At 48.8% G+C, this 21427-nt stretch overlaps 1 protein-coding gene across 7 annotated transcripts in view, besides 1 other annotated feature; it reads left to right on the top strand.

Moving 5' to 3' along the window:
* PCSK6 (proprotein convertase subtilisin/kexin type 6) overlaps positions 1 to 21427 on the top strand; it is a 185775-nt gene that overhangs the window by 37893 nt on the left and 126455 nt on the right. For all 7 annotated transcript variants that reach the window (NM_001291309.2, NM_138319.4, NM_002570.5 and 4 more), the window contains exons 2-4: positions 8155 to 8259; positions 19715 to 19825; positions 20352 to 20495. In NM_001291309.2, coding sequence (NP_001278238.1) covers positions 8155 to 8259; positions 19715 to 19825; positions 20352 to 20495 — 360 coding nt within the window. The remainder of the gene's footprint in view (positions 1 to 8154; positions 8260 to 19714; positions 19826 to 20351; positions 20496 to 21427) is intronic.
* Positions 68 to 801: an enhancer, noted in NCBI's record as "H3K27ac-H3K4me1 hESC enhancer chr15:101991219-101991952 (GRCh37/hg19 assembly coordinates)". NCBI's record gives its function as "activates a minimal SCP1, AML or CMV promoter by ChIP-STARR-seq in naive H9 embryonic stem cells {active_cell/tissue: H9 hESC(naive)}" and the evidence as "EXISTENCE:reporter gene assay evidence [ECO:0000049][PMID:30033119]".

Raw genomic sequence — 21427 nt, 5'->3', positions numbered from 1 at the left:
TTATAGAGTCTAATTAGTTGTGTTTTTCTTAAGCAAACCAACCGGGATCAATAACATTATATAACTGAACTCGGACGACCATGACTTTTAGACATAGACTCTTCCCAGAAAGCCAAGGCCCTCGGCAGATGCCGGCCCTGAAGACAGACAAGCGGCTCCGGAAGCAGGCACGCTGCAGCTGCGGAGCGGACGGGGTTTGGAACATCTGTTTCCAGCCAAGGGCAGGCTTTGGGAGTGATAAAGTACAGTTTTTTTTTGCAAAGTCAGAAGCCTCATCTGCAGTCCATTCATCACTGAGGCCTTGAATTGAGACATTCTGTGGCTGCTTATCAGCTGTTCCCGTGTGGAAGGGTTTGGCTGGGCTGGCCTGGGGAGGTGGGGTGGGGATTTTGCAGACTTACCAAAGTATGCGCTTAGCCGACCCACCCCCACCAACAACGCAGCCTGCTCGAGGGCTACGAACTGCACCTGTGTCTGCAGTCACGTCCATTGGAGAGCTGAGTGGGCGGGTGGACCTTTGGAACTATTTGATGTCATTTGGGGTAGATTCGGCGTGCTTCTCGGTGACTTTGCTGCAAATTAAACATGTAAAGTAGATTGGGCTTTCCTCCTCCATTCCTCAGGATCTTCAAAAAACATTTAGTCTTTTCTGGCAGAGTGAACCCGAGCTGGCAGCGCCCACTGAGATTTTGTTTGAAGCCAGCTACATTCACATTTAAAGAAACGACATGATGGGGGAGGCCCTTTCTGTAAACCCCAAGCCAGGCCTTTCCCCTCGTGAGGGTTCCTACCCCTCCCTTGTGTGGCCCTGCAAGCCGCTTCTGCTTGTCCACACCTGCGCCCGAGAGTTCTTCTCATGGCTGGTGCGTGCCATGAATGAAGGGCACTGGCCAGTGGAAGGGAGTGCCCGGCCAGGCCTTGCCTGCCTCAAGTCCTCAGACCAGAGAGGCCAGTGGGGGTCTTGCCCAGACCATACAGCCGGGAGGTGGTCTGCCTGGCTCCATAGCCTCCTCCCGACCTCACAGCTGTCCTGGGACGGGGACTGAGAGAGAGCTCAAAGACAGGACAGCAGAGCCCGGGCCAGAAGGCACTGGGGGCATGCTCACCCCACCTCTGGATGCGGGGCCTCACTGGACAGCTGGACACAGATGGGATGGGGGGAGACCTGTGTATCCTCCCAATGTCATTTGGAGACAGAAGTCTGTTCATTTCATCAGGCAGATTTCAAGCTCCTCTGTGTTCCAGACACAGCCAGGCCCTGAGAATTGACAGACAACATAGCTCCTGCCCTTGAAGGCTTATGGTGGAGGGAGGGAGGACAAAGGGTGTCATAGCCATGTCTGGGCATACAGGGCCTGGGAGGCCTGAGAGGGCTTCCTGGAGTCAGTGACAGCCGAGGGGATGGTTAAAAGCAGAGTAGGAGTTGAGGGGACTTGAGCGAGCACAGGGGTGTGAAACGGTGTGTGAGGGCAGGGCCCCTTACACTGGATGACAGAGGGCAGTGTGGGCAGGGCCAGGCCTGTGGCTGGAGAGGGGTCCTGGCTGGTCGTGTATTCTCCGAGACAAGGAGGAGTCAGGGTGGGAGTGTCAGTGCGGTGGTACGGGAGAGACTAAGAGGCCAGCGAGGGTCCAAGCAGAGGGGTGGGGCTGCCTGCACTAGGGCTGGTGCGATGAGGGGAGCGGGTTTGGGAGCCATTAAGAGCCCCCTTTGGGAAGGTTTGGTGGTGGCTTTTACCAAGACAAGGAACGCCTCAGGAGGAGAGGTTTGGGGTGCAGGATGGCGAGGGTGCAGTGTTGTTGATGCTGCTCTGGCGTGGTGGAAGTTATGTGCTGACCTAGGGGTCCTGCCAGGAGCCAGTGGATAAAGATGGTGCAGATCCGGCCCAGCCCCTGGAGGACTCAGCCATTATGGGGCCACGTGCTTGGGACCCCCTTAGGCGGGAGAGGCTCCCCAGAGGAGATGATGCTGAGCTGAGCCTGGAAGGACCCAGGATTGGTTGGCAGGAAATGAAGAAACAGCCTTCTGGGCCTGTCTTCTCGGTATCTCATGCAGTTCCTGGATACAGCTCAGCTTCTCCCGCAGAGGATTTCAGAACCCACCTCCCCAGTGGCTGTTCAGACCTCTGGAACCAGAACGTCCATCTGGGGCCAAGCCCCCACCCACATGGGGTTGCTCAAGCTACTCAGGTGAAGCTGACATGTACGAAGGTGGCGAGCCATAGATCTGGAGTTCTGAGTTAGGGCAACCCAGCAGTGGCCCCAGGAGGCTCACTCGGATGTGAGAACTGTGGGAAAACCAAGGACCTACCTGGTATGTTTCAGAGTCATTTGTTTATGAACCTTACATAAACACACACACCTGGATATGTATATACACGTGTATATGCACAGATACACACACACGCCTGAATACATATGCAGTTGGCTGTCTTTATCCACGGGTTCCACATCTACACATTCAACCAACCTCAGGTCAAAAACATGAAAAAAAAATGTATGGTGGATGTAGAAACTATTTTCTTGTCATTTTTCCTTAAACAATATGGTATAACAACTATTTCCACAGCATTTACATTGTATTAGGTATTATAAGTAGTCTAAAGATGATTTAAAGTATTGGAGGATGTGTGTAGGTTGTATGCAAATATGATGCCATTTTATATCAGGGACTTGAGCATCTGTGGATTTTGGCATCTGCAGGGTGGCCTGGAACCAGCCCCCCACGGATGCCAAGGCATGACTGTATACATATATATACATCTGTATACAAACACTTGCACATCCATATACATATGCACACACACACACCGGCATACGTATATACACGTGTATACAACACTCACACATTCTATACATCCACACATATGCACACACACTCGTATACAGACATAATGGAATAATATGTACCTGAAACATAATATAGGCCTCCCATGATTTCCTTATTGAAATGAAGGAAAGTGCACACATGCTGAGGGTACTGGTTCTCTGGGAAAGAACCTGCCGCAAAGGACAAGGACCAAGGTGCCTGAAATTCCCCATGGTAACTAACAATCTTAACCATGCCGAGAGGCAGAAGGTTCAACGGTGAAGAATCCTGACTGTTCATTGACTAAATGAATCTTGAACAGTTTCACTGCTCTGTGCCTCAGTTTCCCCATCAGTCAGATGAGGATGGTCATAACATCTACTCCCTACAGTTGTTATGAAAATGAAGCTTATTAATTCATCTGAACTCCAAGCTTGCTGCCTGGAATGGGGCATGTGCCCAGCAAGCGTCAGCTGTTGTAATGAGCCAGGGGCACTCGGTAATAGTGAGGATCCCTGGCTGGGGGACAGGTGAAGGAGGGGGAATTGCTGTTCCCCACTAACTCTGTACCCTTTTGTACCTTCCATGTTTTGTATCATGTGCACATATTACCTATATTTTTTTAAATGTCAGAGCATCTTGTTAAAGAGGATTACACTACATTAAACTCTCTTCACTGTGAGTTCTTTGATCTCATTCCTTCCAGTGTTCTGGTCAAGAACATTTAGCAAGGTTTGTAATGATGTTCTAATGATGTTATCAGTTTGATCAAGTAATGCATATAATCGCCTATCAACGTTGAGTAAAGAAACATGAGCACCCTGTATTCAGCAAATTGTTTATTTTCTTGAATGGTGCATGAGACGGGCTCTAATTAATTCATTGTGAAGATACCACGGGCACCAAAGAGAACAAGAACGTATTTAAATTTCATGTTATGACATTACAAAGACAATGCCTTGTGGACTAGCAGTCAGATTCATTGATGAAGAGCAGATGGAGGTCAGGGGAGGACACGGGGCTGAGCAGGACTGGGACGCAGCCTGGGATGGTGGAGGCAGCGCCTCCCTTCTATAATCGAGGGAAGGAGGAGGAGGCTGCCAGGGCCCTCCGATAGCGGCAGTCCGTGGAAGCCACCGCTCCTGATTCTAAAGGCGGGCTGCTCAGGCACCGGCTGGAGAAGCGGTGCGTAGTCGATGAGCTGTGAGCACGGGAGCAGAGCCAGCGCCTGGTGTGGACACCGTCCGAGGCCACAGCCAAGCAGCAGCCACCCAGGACGTCCAGGCTGCTGAGCAGGGAGGAACACCTGCCATCAGGGCAAATGCCACATAAAAAAAGAACCTCACTTTACCTGGAAGATTATTTGGAATTTTGTCTTTAGGCCGCCCCCTTCCTGAGTCCACCGCTGTCCATTTGACCCTGAAGAGGTCCTAAAAGTGTGGCAGTCATCTTAAACCCTACTCGTGTATCTGTATGTCATTTAGTATCAAATTTTGTCACCTGCTTGTCTGTGAGCAGAATGGGGAGGCTGCTGGTTTAGGAACTGGGAGCCCCACAGTGTGACATAGTCTTAACCTCCCTGGGCCTCAGTATACTCATCTGTGAAATGGGGACATCTCTGTGGGTCCTTGTCACACCCTAATCTGTGAGTCAGGGCCAGAGGGCAGCCAGGTGTCCTTCATGTTCAACCAGGCCAGTGGCCACATCCCCACAGGTGACCCTGCGTGAGCCTGGGGGCCTCACAGCCTGGCATCCTGTCCCCCTTCCCCATGAAGGCACCCAGAGATGTGAAGGAACAGCCTCCCTCACTGGGGAGGGGCAGAACCTCCTCGTACCTGGGGTGGACCCTGCTGTGGTAGGTCAGATGAGAAGCCTAGAAGGGCTTAGGTGGGTGGGGAGGACGAGAGACAGCAATGGCTGTATCATAAACGCAGCATCATCCGGGCCGACGAGACTTTCAATGGGCCTGTGTTCCTGGGCAGCTGCTCCTGCCTCCTGCTGTGTCACCTTTGATTCTCTCACTGGTTTTGCCCGTGATGAAAACCTCACACTCCTGACCTGGTGCCTGATGTTGCAAAGGGAGGGCAGAGGGCAGGACCACATGAGTCAGACAGAAGGACGGGGCCTCTTGGAGCATCTGACAAGGTTTATGGAAAAAGCACGTCTCAGAGACTCAATGAGATGCTGAAGGTCTAGGCTTGCAGCCGCACCTGTGTTTGAGTCACTCCGTGTATGGACCGCCACTTCCCAGCCCTAGAGAACCCTTGCTTGACATCAGAGACTTTGGTGAACTCCCCTGATACTCTCAGCAGCAAATGCTGTACATCACAGGCTGGCAGCCTTTTCTGTTTCAGAGTTCACATATGAACTCTTTGATCCTCGTGGGCTCTAGGGTCTCTGTTGCAACCACTCAGCTCTGCTATTGTAGTAGGAAGGCAGCCATGAACAGTAGGGAAAGGGTGGGTGTGGCTATGTTCCAAGAAAATTTATCAAAAAACGGTAGGTGGATATATACCCAAAAGAATTGAAAGCAGGGACACGAGCAGATATTTGTACACAGCAGCATTATTCCCAGCAGCCAAGCAGTGGGAGTAATCCACGTGTCCATAAATAGATGAATGAATAAACAAAATGTGAGATGTGCAGATAACGGAAGATTAGTCAGCCTTAAAAAGGAAGGAAATTCTGACACATGGTCCAACACTGATGAAACATGAGCACATTATGCTGAATGACATAAGCCAGTCACAGAGGACGAATGTGTGATTCCAGCTTCTTCTGCAGCTGGCTTTGCAAGGGCAGCCTTGGCTGGTGTCCCCTTCTCCCCTGCAGTGGGAGCGTCCCTCCCCGGCCCCCCAGCTCTCATGCTAGGCCGGACATAAGTGTCCAAACAGATGGAGTTCTGGCCGCTGCTGCCTCCAGAGGTGGTTGGCCTGGTCAGCATTCTGGGGACTGTCTGTGCCTTTCCTGGATCGTTCGTGGAGAACAGTTGACATCAGCCCAGACCCAGGGGCCTTTGCAAAGGACAGTCATGGCGGCCCCGGGGCAGGGGGCTGGATGGCTTTGGGACTGGCCTTTGAGGGGAAAGGTGGCTTCCCCAAGCCTGGCTTAGCTGGTCAAAGGCCAGGTGCTGCCCTGAATGGCTTCCAGGCCCCCCTGTCATGAGCCTGCTAAGGGTCAGCACTGCTGCAATTAGTCTCTTTGCCAGCAAGTTTTATTCAACTCTTCGTTCCTCCATGTCCCTGACTGGGAATTGACTCGAATGCCCAGAGTTAAAAGACCAAAAGTTACGTAACGTCTCCCAGGGATGATGGCAGCTTATGAGCAAACATGTTGATTAAACACTGCGGCAAGTTGAGACTCGGTGATTGCCTCCGTAGCTAAATAACAGCTCTAGTGCGGGTGAGGAGGAGCCTTTTGACACGTGTGGCAGTTAACTTTGTTGAAGAAGTGAGCAAGGTGACTTATCTGTAGGAAGAAAAATAAAAGTGCTTGTGAGCAAAATAGGGCAGAAATAATGAGGTTTATGATGGCAGAAAAATGTGAGAATCAGAATTGCGGAAAACCGTGTATCGAGCACTTACTACCTGCCTGCTGGGTCTCTGCTAGCTCTTTCACACGTAAATATCGCGTTCAAATTTCGGAGCAACCCTTCAGGGTGGTGGTTATTAGTCTCATAAGGAAACTGAGAGAGGGTAAGCCCAGGTCACCCAGAGGGAAGGGTCACATTAGATGCAGACCTGGATTTGGCCAAAAGCTAAAGCATCCCAGACCCAGAGAAGGGAGTGGAGGAGCCCGAGAGAGAATCCCAGCTCCCAGGACCACCAGCATTTGCTGAATGCCCACTAGGTTCTAGACACTCAGCTAGGCTCTATATAGGTGATTCCCATTGATTCCTCATGACTGTCTTCGTATTTGATGTTCTGTGGTTGTAAGCAACAGAAACACACTGGAGCAAGCTGAAGTAGAAAAGGGAACTCTTTATTTCGAGGACAAAGTGGTGTCTCCTAAACCCACGAACAGGAGACAGCAAGGCTGCCAGGGTTGCCGGAAAGGAGAACTGAAGGGAAGCAAAGGGGCTGGGAGGCTCTCTCTTGCACTCCTGCCTTATCTTCTTGTGTAAAGATATGAAAATGGCCACAGCATCCAAGTCCCTCCAGGTCTCCACCTGGGCCAGTCAACTCTATTGAGGTCAGACTATAGCAGACTAAATGGCTATGAATGAGGTGGAGGCAGCCAAGGAGTTGTGAGTCGGGTAGGCTTTAGTCCTACTTAACTTTTAAAGGTAAGTACCTTTATCCCCATTTTACACATAAGGAATTGAGATTCCCATGAGTCAAATGTCCTTGTCCAAGGTCACATGGCTAATCTTGGTGGAGGGGTAGGAAGGGTTTGGACCAAATCGATCTGACTCAAAACCCATGTTTGTAATCATCATATAGAACTGCTGTAGAGGACCATTAGTCTTAAATTTACCCTTTAATCAAGCTAGAAAAGAAACCAGGATGGTTTAGCCTGAGAAGATCAACCTGAGGGTCTGTATGATATCCAGTCCATCTTGATTTTAAAATCCTTTTTGGAGGATGGTGATCAACTAGCCCTTCTCTACAGCCAAGAAGCAGGCCTCCGATAACAATGTCCCCATGCTCGAGCCCGGACAGACGTGAGGACAAGCTGGTGCTACAGCGAGGGCCAGCCCTTCTTGAAGGCCAGGGGCTGGGGCACAGGGCTGCTGTTGGTTCCATCCGGTCCTCAAGCTGAAATCTGTCCTGACAAACTGCCCCTGGCAGAAAATTGGGACACCTCGGAGGTTTAGATGTTCTCATCTGACCCTTTCACAATCCCCAAGCAGATGGATCCATGTGTTTTCTTTGGCTGTCCTGTTGCACTGGAGAGTGAGTGTTCATTCTTCGATATTTCAGTTTACCCATGGGGTGGAGAGGATGGGGTTTGTTTATAAATGAATGTTTTGGTGTAGACCTGACTTGACACCAACTTAGCTACTTCAGGGATTCTTGGCCCTAAACGAACATTCATTTCTGTCTAAAAAACTTGGCCATGATAGTCCAAACTTTAAATGATGTTAATTTACCGTGAGATGTGATGGAGTATGTGGTCCATGGGAAATATGACTTAGTGTTATTTATCTAAAAATGAGTGTCTGAATCCACCTTCACGTTTATAAACACTGCACACATGCCAGAGATATGAGGAGCAGGGTGATGGAGGGTGTGTTTCCTCTGGGAGAATGAGCCCCTCAGATAAGGGGGAGATTCTTGTGGGGTGGAAGATTTTGGAAGCTGTTCGTGAGACTATTAATTGATGGCATTCTGCTTCTTGTCTTGCAGATTGGAAACCTGGAAGATTACTACCATTTTTATCACAGCAAAACCTTTAAAAGATCAACCTTGAGTAGCAGAGGCCCTCACACCTTCCTCAGAATGGACCCCCAGGTACAGAGTGTCCGGATGCTTTCCTAAGGGCTGGAGGGTTTGGGTCTGTGGTCTTAAAAATGGCGGAGTCTGGATTTTAATGTGATTCTGGATAGACATGAGTTTTCCATATTCACTTTAAATACAGCAAGACAGGTGTAGCTACGAATCAGACCATCTGAACTAAATCATGTGAGTGAGGATCTCTCAGCATTTTAAAATCAACAAAACACAATACTCACAGGAGATACATATATGAATCTTACCCATGAAACAAAAACTCTAAGCAATTCAAGCAAGTATTTTAATAATGAAATTAGAGATCAGGCAGGTGGATGTTTTTGTGGTTGTCATAACATGTATGTTAATGGTTACTATGAATTTGAAAACTGAGGCAGTAACTATGACTTTTTTTCCTCAAAGATTCACATGATCTTCAGGATTAAAACAAATGCGATTTGAAAGGAGGCTAACATTTTAAATTTTAACATAACCCGTATTTATTGGGTGGTTAATTATACTTCCTTTCTGCATAGATTTGAAATTAATATTTGAGAAAGATCAATCAACAGTTATGTGTCAAGATTAAAAATTTAAGATGGCCAAGTGAGCCTCCAGTGAGTTCATTCATTTGGCAGGTATTTTTGGAATACCTTCCATGTGGCTGGCTCTGTCCATAGCAGGGCCCGTGGAGCTGGCGGCAGGGCTGACAGAAAACGAAGCAGGAAATAGAAAAATATGTGATATGTCACAGGGCGATGAGTGCTGAGAAGGAAAATGAAGTTCACGTGAGAAGCAGTAGCAGCCCCAGCAAGGAACGGAGGTCATTGGTAAATCATAGTTTTAGGTCACAGAAATCATCTTCTCTTAAAAGTTAACGTATATACTAGATGTTTGTTTGGGCCCCCTGGCTGGTGCACAATATTATTTCAGCTATTTCCAGAAAATACTTAGAGTAAAGTTTTTATGGAAAAATGGGTTCTTGGTGTTGCCCCAACCCACCTGCTTCAATGACAATCAGGGCTCTTTTTGTATTGACTGAGCAGGGATCTGTTGGAGAGACGCGTTATCTCTGGGCTCTGTACCTGAATTATCCTTCTCTGGGGCATCGCATGGTGAGGGTTTTGATTTGAAGCATATGAGGAAGTGGTCCCCATGGAGCTCACCCATGGACCTGGGCTGTGAAAAGACAGACTTGTCTTGAATATATTTCTGGATTGGTTTTATAGGTGGGTGGATGGATGGATGAATGGATGGATAGATAGATACGGATAAGTCGAACGAGATAGATATGAAACATTGTGCTAATTCCATTATTCCTTCATAGCAAGGGAAGGAGTTAAGTGTTTACTAAGGGATGGCTGTGCTTGGGCACTTTACATGCACCGTCTCACCCCATCACATGGGGGTGAGATTACGTCTACTTGTGCTTACACCATGGAACATGAAGGAATGTTTTTCAAAGGGGCCAGTATATTTAATCCTCTAGGAAAAAAGCCAGATTGTAGTTGCTCCTTCCCAAAGAGTGGGGCACTTGGGGAAGGGTGGATCAGTAGAAAACTGAGCAGCAGGGAGCCTCTGTACAGGGTGCATAGGCTGATCCCGGAGGAGGCGTGAGTTCTGTGCGGTTGAGAGACCGTCATCTGTCATCTTGGAGGAAATTCTAAGCTAGGAAAGAGGTCGACGCAGCATCCCTCCACACTTTCACTTTAAGCAAGCACTTGATCTGCCGTGTGAAGAAACATCCTCATTCTTCAACTGAAGTCTTTTGAGTTGTTGAATTGCCACCACGCGGATAGTTACAATGAAAGCAAGCTGTTTGCATGCAGGAAGCCCATCTCATAAGCATGCTCTGAGAAGAGACGGGGACCGTGGATTTCTTGGTCTTCTTTCCATGAGGCCTTCCAAGAATTAATAAAGCAGATTCTTAATGGTTAGAACTAAGGCAGAGTCGAAATAGGAGACTTAATCTGTGTTTTGACTACATCCTCTGTTGTTGGTGACTATATTTTAAAACTTTTAAAGGTACTCAGGTCGACTGCTCATCCCTTCCTTCCAAAAATATTAATGGTGCACCTGCTGAGTGCAGGACCCTGTGCCTGAGTAATGCAGAGCTGCCCAGCAGGTCTCTGTGTTGCTGAGTTCTCGGTGAAGATGGGGATGGGAGACCTGTGCATGAGCAAGGCAGGCTGAGGCAGCAGAGACAGACTCTGTGGGGGGCTTGAGGGCCACCATACCCTGGACCTGCCTCCTCTCTGCAGCACCTGAGCTGCTTGATTGACCCATTTTAGGTGTGTTAAAAGTCCTATATTCAGTTTGGGTCTGAGGGCAAAGCATTCCCAGGCATTAGTTGTCTCCTCGAAGTCAGCAGAAGGAAGGATAGAGACTTCCTAGGCAAAGGCTAACGTAGCAGTTAAATTTTTTCAAATAAAAATCTCCTTCTCACAGAGCTTCTTAATAAGCTCCTGGCAAGGCTTCTATCAATGCATCCTGCCAGTAAAGAAGAAAGGAAGAAAGGTAAACAGCCTGGGCATCCCAGGCCTTCCTGGAACGTTCCTAGGATTGGCTGATTGTTTCTCATAGTTCTAATTAAATTGTTAGCCCCAGGGAAAGCACACAGACATCTGAACCGATTATGAATTCAGAATCGCAACTGAAATACCTCTGTTTAAATTTGTCTAGCTTTAATGCAAACCAAATCAATTAGCTGTCAGTCTGACTAATATTTACTCCACCCAGTCATTACAATTAAACACTTGGTGAAATTAGCTGTTTTATGGAAGTATTTAGTGTTATCTTTTATTGCAGTGCATCAGAACGTTTCCCTACGTTGGCAAAGCATTTTTATGATACCTTCACATCTGGAGAGTTGTGTAATTAATATTATTAACAAAAGGAAAAGATGATTTAATATTATTCAGAGACTTCGGAATGCGAGGCTGCCATTGTGTTCAAATGACCAAACTGGAAATGAATGTTATGGGGCTTAGGATAAAGTTCCATCAAATGCAGACGGTATCTTATTTTAATTAGTTCCAGTCCCTATTGTATAGGAGTGCTTTGATAAGTGATGGAATGTACAGTCCACCCCATGTCACATAAAAGCAGATAGAATGTACATTTGGGAAAGCAAAACAAAACTCAAGGGGGTGTCAGCAGCAGGACTCTGTTAAGCACGTGTGTGCACGCACACTTATTAGGCATCTTCTTCGCACTGATCCTGTACCGGAATGGTACAGTCATTTTCCTTGCATTCTTAATTACCTTTACTTGATGTTTTTCTTACCGTCTTTGAAAAGGGCCATTTTGCTCAGATTGCTTTGTTACTCAGCCCTGTCCTTGGAGGAACAGCCCAAGTGTTCGCAGTGTGCAGTTATCGGTCGCTGGGTTTTTCCAAGGCTTGTCATTTAAGCAAACTGAAAGCATTTGTTTTTAACTTGTTCTTTTGCCAAAAGTCTGGAGAAGGGTGGATATTACAGAAGCGTCGACCAATCACTGAAAGGGCTCACAAATTTTTTTAAAATTACTTGTTCTGATTATGTTCCAAGCTGGCTTATAGTTAGTCGTTGCTGCCTGTGTCTTCCAGACCTTACATTTTAGCATGATGACTTGGGTTCAGCTCTTTTCCTTCCCTACAGATCTCAGCCAGATTGGTGATGGAAATGGAAGGATAAAGATGTTCAGAGGGAGCCTTGGTGGCTCCTTCTAGGGCCGTAGGAGGCTTGGGTTCAATGCTTCATTTCAGTGCTTTAAAGCTTAGAAGTTGCAAAATGATTGCAAGGACCAGAGGAGGCATTCTGTTTTGTAGGATGGGACTTTGCCCCCGGAGTTTAATCAAAGCTCGGGTTTCCTTCCAGCAGTGATGCAATGTTGAAGCAGATCTTTCCATTAACCACAGATGGAATTTTATCTAACAGTTTTGTGTGCTAGAGCAATTCAAAGTGCAAACAAACAGAAAGTTCCTGACAAGAGCACATAGACAGTAAGTGACCACATTGGTCTCAGGGGTTGATGAACTGTGTCATGGGCTGAGGGCAGGGCCAGGCAGCTGCCCAGGGCCCAGAGGATTTGCCCACGTGGGGACGGTGGACTGCTCCCCCATGAGGGTGATCGAATGACAGTGACAAGTTGGCTGTTCACATTTTCAGCACCACCCAGCTGGTTCTAGTGGCATGGCTGCTAGGAATTGGTAAAAAGTTTGAATGTGTAAATTTACCTTAAAAGACAGCATTTTATTCTTTCACGACATGCTCTGCCCTTCCGCTTAGATATCTCAAAGACAATCCAAAGTCAGTATGTCCCAAACCCAGCTCACTGTCTCTGACCCTAGTCTGTCTCAGAGGGAAGCGCTCATCCGCATTCCACTGCAGTGCCAGCGGCCTCTCCTTCCCCCCTACACTTGTTCCACCTCCCGTACAACCTGGCCCTGCCATGTCCTGTGTCTCCTGCCCTAGGCCCAGCTCCTGTCATCTCTTGCCTGCACCACTGCACTGCCCTCCTTGCTGGCCTCATGTGGGCATCCTTGCCCCGGCCAGTCACCTCCCATGCTCCTGAGGGATCCTCTGAAATACGGCCACCACTGGCCTTTAAGATCCTCCTCGGGTGACTTTCGCTCTTTTTCCCTCTGCAGAGCTTTTGCACAGACGGCTCCCCACCTTCCCCTGCTGTTGCTCTCTTCCCCACCTTCCCCTCTGGGCTCCAATATCCCTGCCACCAGGAAGCCTGCTCAGAGGCTGCGGACTTGGCCTGCTCTTCTAGCAGTCGTATGTTTGTATTCTAGATCTGGCCCTAGAGTAGGAGCACACAGCAGTGTTTGTTGGGAACGATGACTAGTTCAGTTTGTTTGGGATCTGTCAGGGACAGACAGAGTCGGCAGGGGAGCTGCAGGTGGTTCCTGGGGGACCTGGATCGTCAGGCTTGGGAGGGCGTTCAGTGTTCCAGAACCAGAGGAGAGGCGATGGGAAGGCGGACTGACGCTGCTGTGCGGATGCCTCGGGAGAGAGGAACTTGGAGTTCAAAGCATGCAAGCCCATCTCTTGCCAATGCAACAGGAGGTTATCGAGGGTCAAGGCCACATATCATTTGCTTTTACTCCCTTACAAGTCCAGCAGCAACCCAGAGAACAGTAGACAATGCTTCCTGAAGCATATCTCAAGTTCCAGAGATGTGACTCCTATAAGCAAGTTGTGTGTAACATAAGCAACTTCTTTCTATGTAAATACTTTAGAAGTAAATTCTGACCCACCTTGGCTAAATTATGGAAAAATCCTAAATATAGTTTTCAGTTGACAAAGCTGTATCCTGTATTGCTGAAGCTAAAATAACAGAGGTACAGACAGTGACTGCATGTCAGACACGTTGAGCAGTGTTGGACCTCATAGTTTGTTAGTCTGCGGGGGCAGTTGTAACAAAGTCCCACAGGATGCGGGGACTTCAACCGCAGAACCGTATTGTCTCACACTTAGGAAGGTTGGAAGACTGAGATTACGGCGTTGGCAGGGTTGGTTTCTTCTGAGGTCTCTTGATCCTCACGTGGTTGTCCCTCTCTGCGAGTGGCTCTGTCCTAATCTCCTCTTCTCATGGGACACTGGCCAGATTGGATTAGGGTCCCCCGCATCATGACCTCATATTAACGTAACTACCTCTTTAAGGCCCTTATCTCCCATTACAGTCACGTTCTGAGCTACCCCGGGTTAAGATTTCAACATAAGAATTTAGGGGTTCACAGGTCAGCCCCTAACAATAGGTGAAGCTGGGCTCCAGCTGCCTCTTCTGTTGTCAGTGAGTGGAGGTGGGTGGCGGGCGGTGGGGAGAGGGGCACCTTCTGTCCCCTTTCAGCAAAATAAGAACTAACTTACAAATGAGTAGCTTTACTTTCCCAAAGAGCTTTCACACGCACTGTCCCATTTCCGTCATCGGCAGAGCGAGGACTTCCCTCTCTCATGACTGTTAAGCAGGGGTCTTCTGGCACCTGTAGTTTAACTTCAATGGAAAGAATTCAAGAAATGGTCTCTACGCTGTTGCAGTTATGGCTGCAGGGGAGGCAGTGGGGAGGGAGCTGGGCTCGCAGCTGCCTGGATGACACGGGAGGTGGTGGTGGGGGTGGCTTTCTAGGCTGAGTTAGAATGTCCTTTATTTTCTGGTTCCTCCTCCCCCTCCTCTACTGCCCGGGCTTACTCACTGGGTTCCCGCTGTGTGTTTGCCATGGCAGCCTGGGGTTTCCCGGCCCCACCCCTAGGTGAGCCAGTGCTGCGCCGGAGGTGGGCCTGGGCATCTCGCCATGATGGGCTCTCACGAAACCATGTAATCGTCTCTCACTTGTCACGATGGCCCTCTTGCCCTGCTGGAAGATGACAGCCACAGGACCAATCCCTCACTCGGAGAACTTGGATCTGCTTTCTGCCTCTGTCTAGCTTGGTTCAGTGGTTCTTAGCCATTTGGGGGAATCACAGGCCCCTTTGAAAAGCTGTTGGAAGTTGTGGGGCCTCTCGCTCTCCAGAGGAAAAAAGACATCATGCTCATGCCGGCACCATTTTGCATACAGTTCTGGGGTTTCTGGGACTCGAGCCTGTCCTTCCACTCCTTGAGGGACTGTGGGATCCAGGGCAAGATGGCTCCAGTGTGCTGCATGAATCGTCGCCTGTCAGTGAGAGAAGGGCCACGTTGCACATTATGCAGTGACGGGCACTTGTCGGGGAGTGGGATTTTTCTTTCTTTAAATTCACCAGTCAGCTTTCTCACTGAGCTCTTTAGCTGGTTGGATGTTGGCCCAGCGAGGTGCTCAGAGCAGTCAAGGTTGATGGGAATCAAGATCTAAGCGCCACAGACTGTTGAGTGCACAAGCTCTGAGAGAGGGACCGGTCCCAGCCCCTGCTTTACAGTGTGGAGGGAGAGGCCCAGGCAGGGTGCCCACCTCCCACACAGAGAGAATAACAGGCTTATTTTCTACGGTGCCCTGATTGTTCTCTCCTGGAGGAGGCTTTGGAGCTTGGTGGCTCCTGGGTGCCGAGGTATGGCCTCCGACTCCCTCCCTTGATATGCCCTGGTGGACAGTCAGGTCTGGCTTGCAGTCCCCTTGTTCTTTCACAGTTACAGAATAAAGTAACCTTCGCTTTGATGAAACCAGGGAGAAAAGAGAAAAGAAAGAGCTGGCCGAGCTGTCTCCCTTGCGTTGGCTACAACTGTGCAGAACCTGTGTGAACCTGGTGTCCGCAGCCCTGCCGGTGCGTACTTCAAAGAACCTCAGCAGCTTGACTCCCTTGATGCTGTGTGGGACCCCTGGACCGCTGGGGGAGGGTGCCTGTGTATGCCCTTCGTGGCCTTCCCTCCATCTCAGAGCAAAGACTGAAGCCCCTCTCCTTTTAGGACTCTCCAGCTCCCAAGAACTTCTAGGGGCCTTCCTGAGCCACAGCAGGGCCCCTCTGAATAGGCACAGGCTTGAAGTTAGGGCAGAAGGACATGGTGGCTTTGGGTGGACGTGCAAGTGGGAGGGATTTCATGCTCTCTTTGGTGACACTGGCTCATGAGTGAAAGTTTCAAAACACCCTCCCCTGTCGCTTGTCACACCTGGGAATGATATGTCAGCAAGCTTCTGGCCCACCTGTGGCCCACAGGGAAGAAGACAGGGCCAAGGCTGCCCATGGCTGCTCGCTGAAAGGATGCTTGGACAAGGATCACAACTCGGTGGCATGGACAGCCTGCAGCATGGCAAGCCATTTACTGGAACGCGGGCAGGGCCCCCTCCTGGGTCTCTGCTTGTTTATGTTACCCTTTAGGAACATCCTTAGATTTTACCTCGTCTTATCAACAGAGGGACAGTCAACGGATGCCTCATTTTAACTTGGCTTCTCGAGAAGGAAGCTGGAGGAAGCACACACTACAAAAGAAAGTGTTGCTGCGCACCTGTCTTGAGAAGACGATGAAGCCTTCTTCATGATTAGAACTCCCTGCCCCAGAGCGTAGCTTATCTATAACTGTGCTGCATGTTTAGCAGGAAACATACATTTGGAAAATAGAGAAAAGGATAAAAAGGTCAGAGTGAAGTTCTATCTTCAAAGTATGACGTTAAAGAAATCCTGGCACTTTCTACAGATTTGCAGAGAAAGACGGTTTCTGTTTGGGCTAGAAGTGGCATTTGGCAAACCTTGCCTTTGCCCCAAATCACTTATAGTTGATTTTCCACAAGAAAAGTCAACAGATGTCATCTAGCAGTCATTTAGACCTAATCACATTTTCTTTCTTTCTTTCTTTCTTTCTTTTTTTTTTTGAGACAGAGTCTCACTCTGTCACCCAGGCTGGAGTGCAATGGTGCAATCTCTGCTCACTGCAACCTGTGAGGGTTGCTTCCATTCGATGGGAGGGCTGGAGTTTTAGTCGCTTGGTTTGGGGCTGGTGACACACCTCTGACCTCCACAGAGTGTCCAGGTGGCTCCTGGTTTCACCCCGAGGGGGCATTGAAGGCAGAGCTTTGCATCCCAGCTGGGGATGGGAGGGGGAGGCACTTTGGTCCTGGCCGGGAACCAGGTATGTTCATGCTGATCTTCCCAGAACCTAGCGCCAGACACACAGGAAGACTCAGTGCATTTTTGTTGAGTGAGCCACAGAATAAGTGACCCCAGGATGCCTGCTCTCTGGAGACACTGGGGAAGGTGAACCTGGAAAATGGCTTTCTCTTTGTGGTGGGTAGGAGGTGGGATCCGGGATCCCCTTGTGCTGTCCTGGAGCTGGGTGAGAAGCAAGGGAGTGACTGGAACCCAGAGGAAGGGACACAGTGCCGGGAGAATCAGCCTCTGCCACCGCGCTGTCTGCCTGCATCCCGTCTCCACGGAGAAGCCCCCACGCCTGGTCAGTCATCTGTTGTACAGTGTTCGGTTCCATTGGCCTGAGAGCACCTCACTTGCCGTCAGAGACTTACAATGAGCAGGTGTGTTAGCAGAGAGAGGGCTGCCCCTGCGACCACGACAGAGAGAGAGCCCCAAACTGTGCTGCGGGCCGCAGGCTATCACAGTCCCCCTCAGAACTGTGTGCCAGTGTTGTGGGGTTTTGCCCAGAGCCCAGCAAGGACCAAGGGCCGGGATGCCCAGGCTCTTCCATCCTGCTGAGGAACCCTCTTATGACTTCTGGCTCTACGCTTTCCCACATCTCCCAGCTGATTAGTGGGGTGTCACCCACTTGGGCTTGGAAGGGCAGAGTGTGCCTCCTCCTCTGACTGGAAGTGTGGTCTGGTGGGCACAGCAATTGGAAGGGGCTGGATGTTGTTAGAACAGAGAGTTCAGGGCCCCTTAGCACAAACAGGGCTCAGCCTGGCAGGAGGGCGGGACATCCCTGGGAGCTTTGGGCTGTGCGGGATCTACATACCACTGTATTTTGTAATAGCGTGCTGAACAGATTATGAAATATTGTTTGCGGCATCTTAGACCAGGTAAAAAGCCTTCTAGTTCAGGCAGTAATATATGGGGACATTGCAAAATGCCATCAGCCGGTGTTAGGAACAAAATATCTCATTTTATAGTTTTATTTTCTGTGGAAGTATCTGTCAGCGGCCATTATAAATTATCTAGGACTTGGTGCTGAGGATTTTTTAAGTGTGTGACGTGAAACTGGTTTTGAGCCCTTTGCAGTGTTTCTAAGGCGTCTGGTCTGCTGGTGTTTTATAGACGAATTACATCGGGGTGGGACAGGCTGGGATGCCTCTCTTCCGGCATTTTGCCCTGTACACCAAGGATGTCTTGGAGGCCATCCCCAGCCCTAAATTTGAGCTGTGTATGCAGGTGCTCCGCTCTCCTTGCTCAGGGTGATGTGGGGAGGCCAAGGCTCAGGGAGGAGGAAGAGAAATCTTGTCCCTTTGCTCTTGGGGACTGTTACTCCCTGCCCACTCAGCCTCAGGTAGCTCTGTTCTAGCTTCCAGCACGACCCTGGGTCGCCAGCCTTGGGTCACCTTGGGGCCCCGCCCCCTTCTCTTGTTCCTCCCCTGCCTCTAGCTGCCTCCTCCAGGCAGCCTGCCCTGTTTGGAACTCACATCATCCTCTGATTGGTGGGATCCCCTGAATGTAGTGCAGACTCCTCGAGAGCACGGCCCTGGCGCCCATCCTTATCCCACCCATGTCAGGCCCCAGAGCCAGGCTGAACCCCAGCTTTGAGCATTATTCAATCAGGTGGAGCTGCCGTGGTAAGACCAAAGAAAACATTCCCACTCAGGGTCCAAGAAGTCTTTACCCCAAGATCCTTTTAAAATGAAAAAGTTTTTCCAGCTTGAAAAGAATGTGTACACGGGATGATAAGAGCAGGAGTGCTCCAGGCACTGGTCTGAGGGCTTTATATGTGTTGTTTCTTATATTAACCCTGTGGCAACCCATGACTGTCCCCACTGTGTGGGTGGACACCACCCTGAGGCCATGGATGTCCACTGTCAGCTCCAAGTCACACAGCTGGTGAGCACGGGGCTGGGTTTTATTGCAGGTGGCCTGGTGCCTTGATCCTTGGTCTTAAATATCAGTGATACAGCCTTGTGAACTTTTTTCCTTGATCGTGAAAACAAATCATGCTGATTGAAAGACATTTATGACATCCTGAAAGTAATTGTAAAATTTTAAATTAGCAATAATGTCACCACCCAGGAACTGATGCTACTACTATTTTGCTGTATTCCTTTCTAGATTTTTCTCTGTGCATGTTTTGGTACCATATTGCTGGTGGCTGCCAAATATTCCAATATATGGCTTACCATATTTACTTATGTCCTTACTGTAAAGCAAATTCCAATACCAGTTAACCAAACACTTTCTTCATTCACTGCTTTCCCATGTGTGTATTTCCTTTTTCTTCAGGACAAGGATCACCAGATAATTTATCGGCAATTTCACAAGGCTGGCTTCCTTCCTTCTCTCCCTCTCTCCCTCCCTTCCTTCTTGTCTTTCTGTCTCTCTCTCTCTCTGTCTTTTTTTTTTTTTGACAGGGTCTTGCTGTGTTGCCCAGACTGGAGTGCAGTGGCACCAATCATGGCTCACTGCAGCCTTGACTTCCCAGGCTCAAGCAATCCTTTCACCTCAGTCTCCTGAGGAGCTGGGACTACAGGCATGCGCCATCATGCCCAGCTAGATTTTTTTTTTTTTTTTTTTGGAGAGGTGGGGTTTCACCATGTTGCCCAGGCTGGTCTCAAACTCCTGGGCTCAGGCGATCTTCCTGCCTCGGCCTCCCAACGTGCTGGGATGACAGGCGTGAGCACTTTCTTTCTTTTAGTACAACGACTTCAAAATCTATCAGAGTGGTGTTATTTCTTCCTCTGTATACACAAACAACTTCTCATCTTTCAAATGTAGTCACTTTGAAGTGAAAATGTCCCCAGGAACTTACCATCTAAAATATCTGCTATGACACAGATATTCACGCACAAGGAAGGCTGTAGCACCTGCAAAGAGGCTACATAAAATCAAGAAATCATTTCTAATATAAACAGTAATTGCATTTCTTCTGGTAGGTGAAATGGCTCCAGCAACAGGAAGTGAAACGAAGGGTGAAGAGACAGGTGCGAAGTGACCCGCAGGCCCTTTACTTCAACGACCCCATTTGGTCCAACATGTGGTACCTGGTGAGTAGGACAGGACCTCTGTCTGCCCCAGGACACTTGCACTGCCAGGTCTCTGAAATGGGTTAATTTCCCTCAACAAAGCTAAATTCAAACAACATCTCCAGACAGACACACTTCACCTTGAGGGTGTAAAACCACTACCGCAAGGCTGTGCAGTACCGGCTTTCCTGTGGATTTTTTCTGAAACTTTGTGCAGCACACTCTGGGATGGGGGCTCTTTGAGAAGGGAAGTGATTTGATGCAGGCTGTATGACTAAATGGCAAAGCCCAGCCCATGGACAGAGCTCCTGCTGGGAGGCGATGCCCTGGGAAAATATAGATTGCAGGTGCAGAAAAAGCAAGGGAGCCGTCTGCATGATTCTCGATCCGAGTGGGAAAGAGGAGCTCTGCTATGTAAGGCAGGGATAGGTGTTCCCTCCTTTTTTACTTGCAAGCCTAAGCGCCTCCCTGTGGGGTGTGCACCGAGTGTCAGTTCTGCATCTGGAATGTCCATGTCGGGGGGACTTTGTGTCTTTCGTGCTTACAGCATTGTGGCGACAAGAACAGTCGCTGCCGGTCGGAAATGAATGTCCAGGCAGCGTGGAAGAGGGGCTACACAGGAAAAAACGTGGTGGTCACCATCCTTGATGATGGCATAGAGAGAAATCACCCTGACCTGGCCCCAAATTATGTAAGTCAATCCTCGGAACTGACATGCAAATATATTCAACTGTGCTGGTCATTAAGTAAATGCAAGTTTAAAAACAGTAAGGTCCCGATCTCCCCCAGCCCCCATTAAGTTAGGCAGTAAAGAAAACTATGCTGGAAAGAATTAGGAAGATGAATATTCTGCTACTTGCTACTGTCAGGGGCAAGGGTTTTGCAGAGGGATTCATCCACATGCTTGCACAGTCACATACACTTTTAGGAATGGAGCCTAAAGAACTAAGAAATGCATGGAGGGGGATCATCAGCGTACAGATAGTAGCAACACGAACAGTGACAGGGTGACAGTGTGAAAACACGGGCTCTAGGCCCAGAGTGCCTGGGTTCCTATCCTGGGTCTGCAAATGATTAGCTCTGAGATCTTGAGTAAGTTACTTAACTTCTCTGTGCCTCATCTGTAAACATTTTACCGTCTGTAAAATGGTTCATAAGAGAACGACTCTCTCACGGAGTTATTGTAAGGACTAAATTAGTTAAATGTAAGGACACAAGCTTGGCATATCGTAAATATCATAGATGCAAGAAATACTCTAAGGGACTTGGGCACCTACCGGTGATTAAGTAAACCATATTGTATCCATCTGACAGATCGTTATGCAGCCCTTAGAAATGAATTTTGCAGACTACGTGTCAACAACACTGGAAACCTTTTATCATATATTTTAAAAGGAGAATGTAAAATTATGTGAATACTGCTGTTACAGTCATATAAACAAAAGCATACCTATTGAAAATATAAAATGAAGGAAATCCTGACCCACGTGGAAACGTGGATAAACCTTGGACGTTATGCGAAGTGAAATAAGCCAGTCACAAAAGGACAAATACTGCCTGATTCCACTTACACGAGTGACTCGGAGTAGCCAAACTCTTAGACAAAAAGGTGGAGTGGGGGTT

This window comes from Homo sapiens, chromosome 15, assembly GCF_000001405.40.
Source record: "Homo sapiens chromosome 15, GRCh38.p14 Primary Assembly".
NCBI lineage: Eukaryota > Metazoa > Chordata > Mammalia > Primates > Hominidae > Homo > Homo sapiens.
Note: the sequence above shows the minus strand (reverse complement) of the source record. Positions and strands in the feature narration are given on the sequence as shown.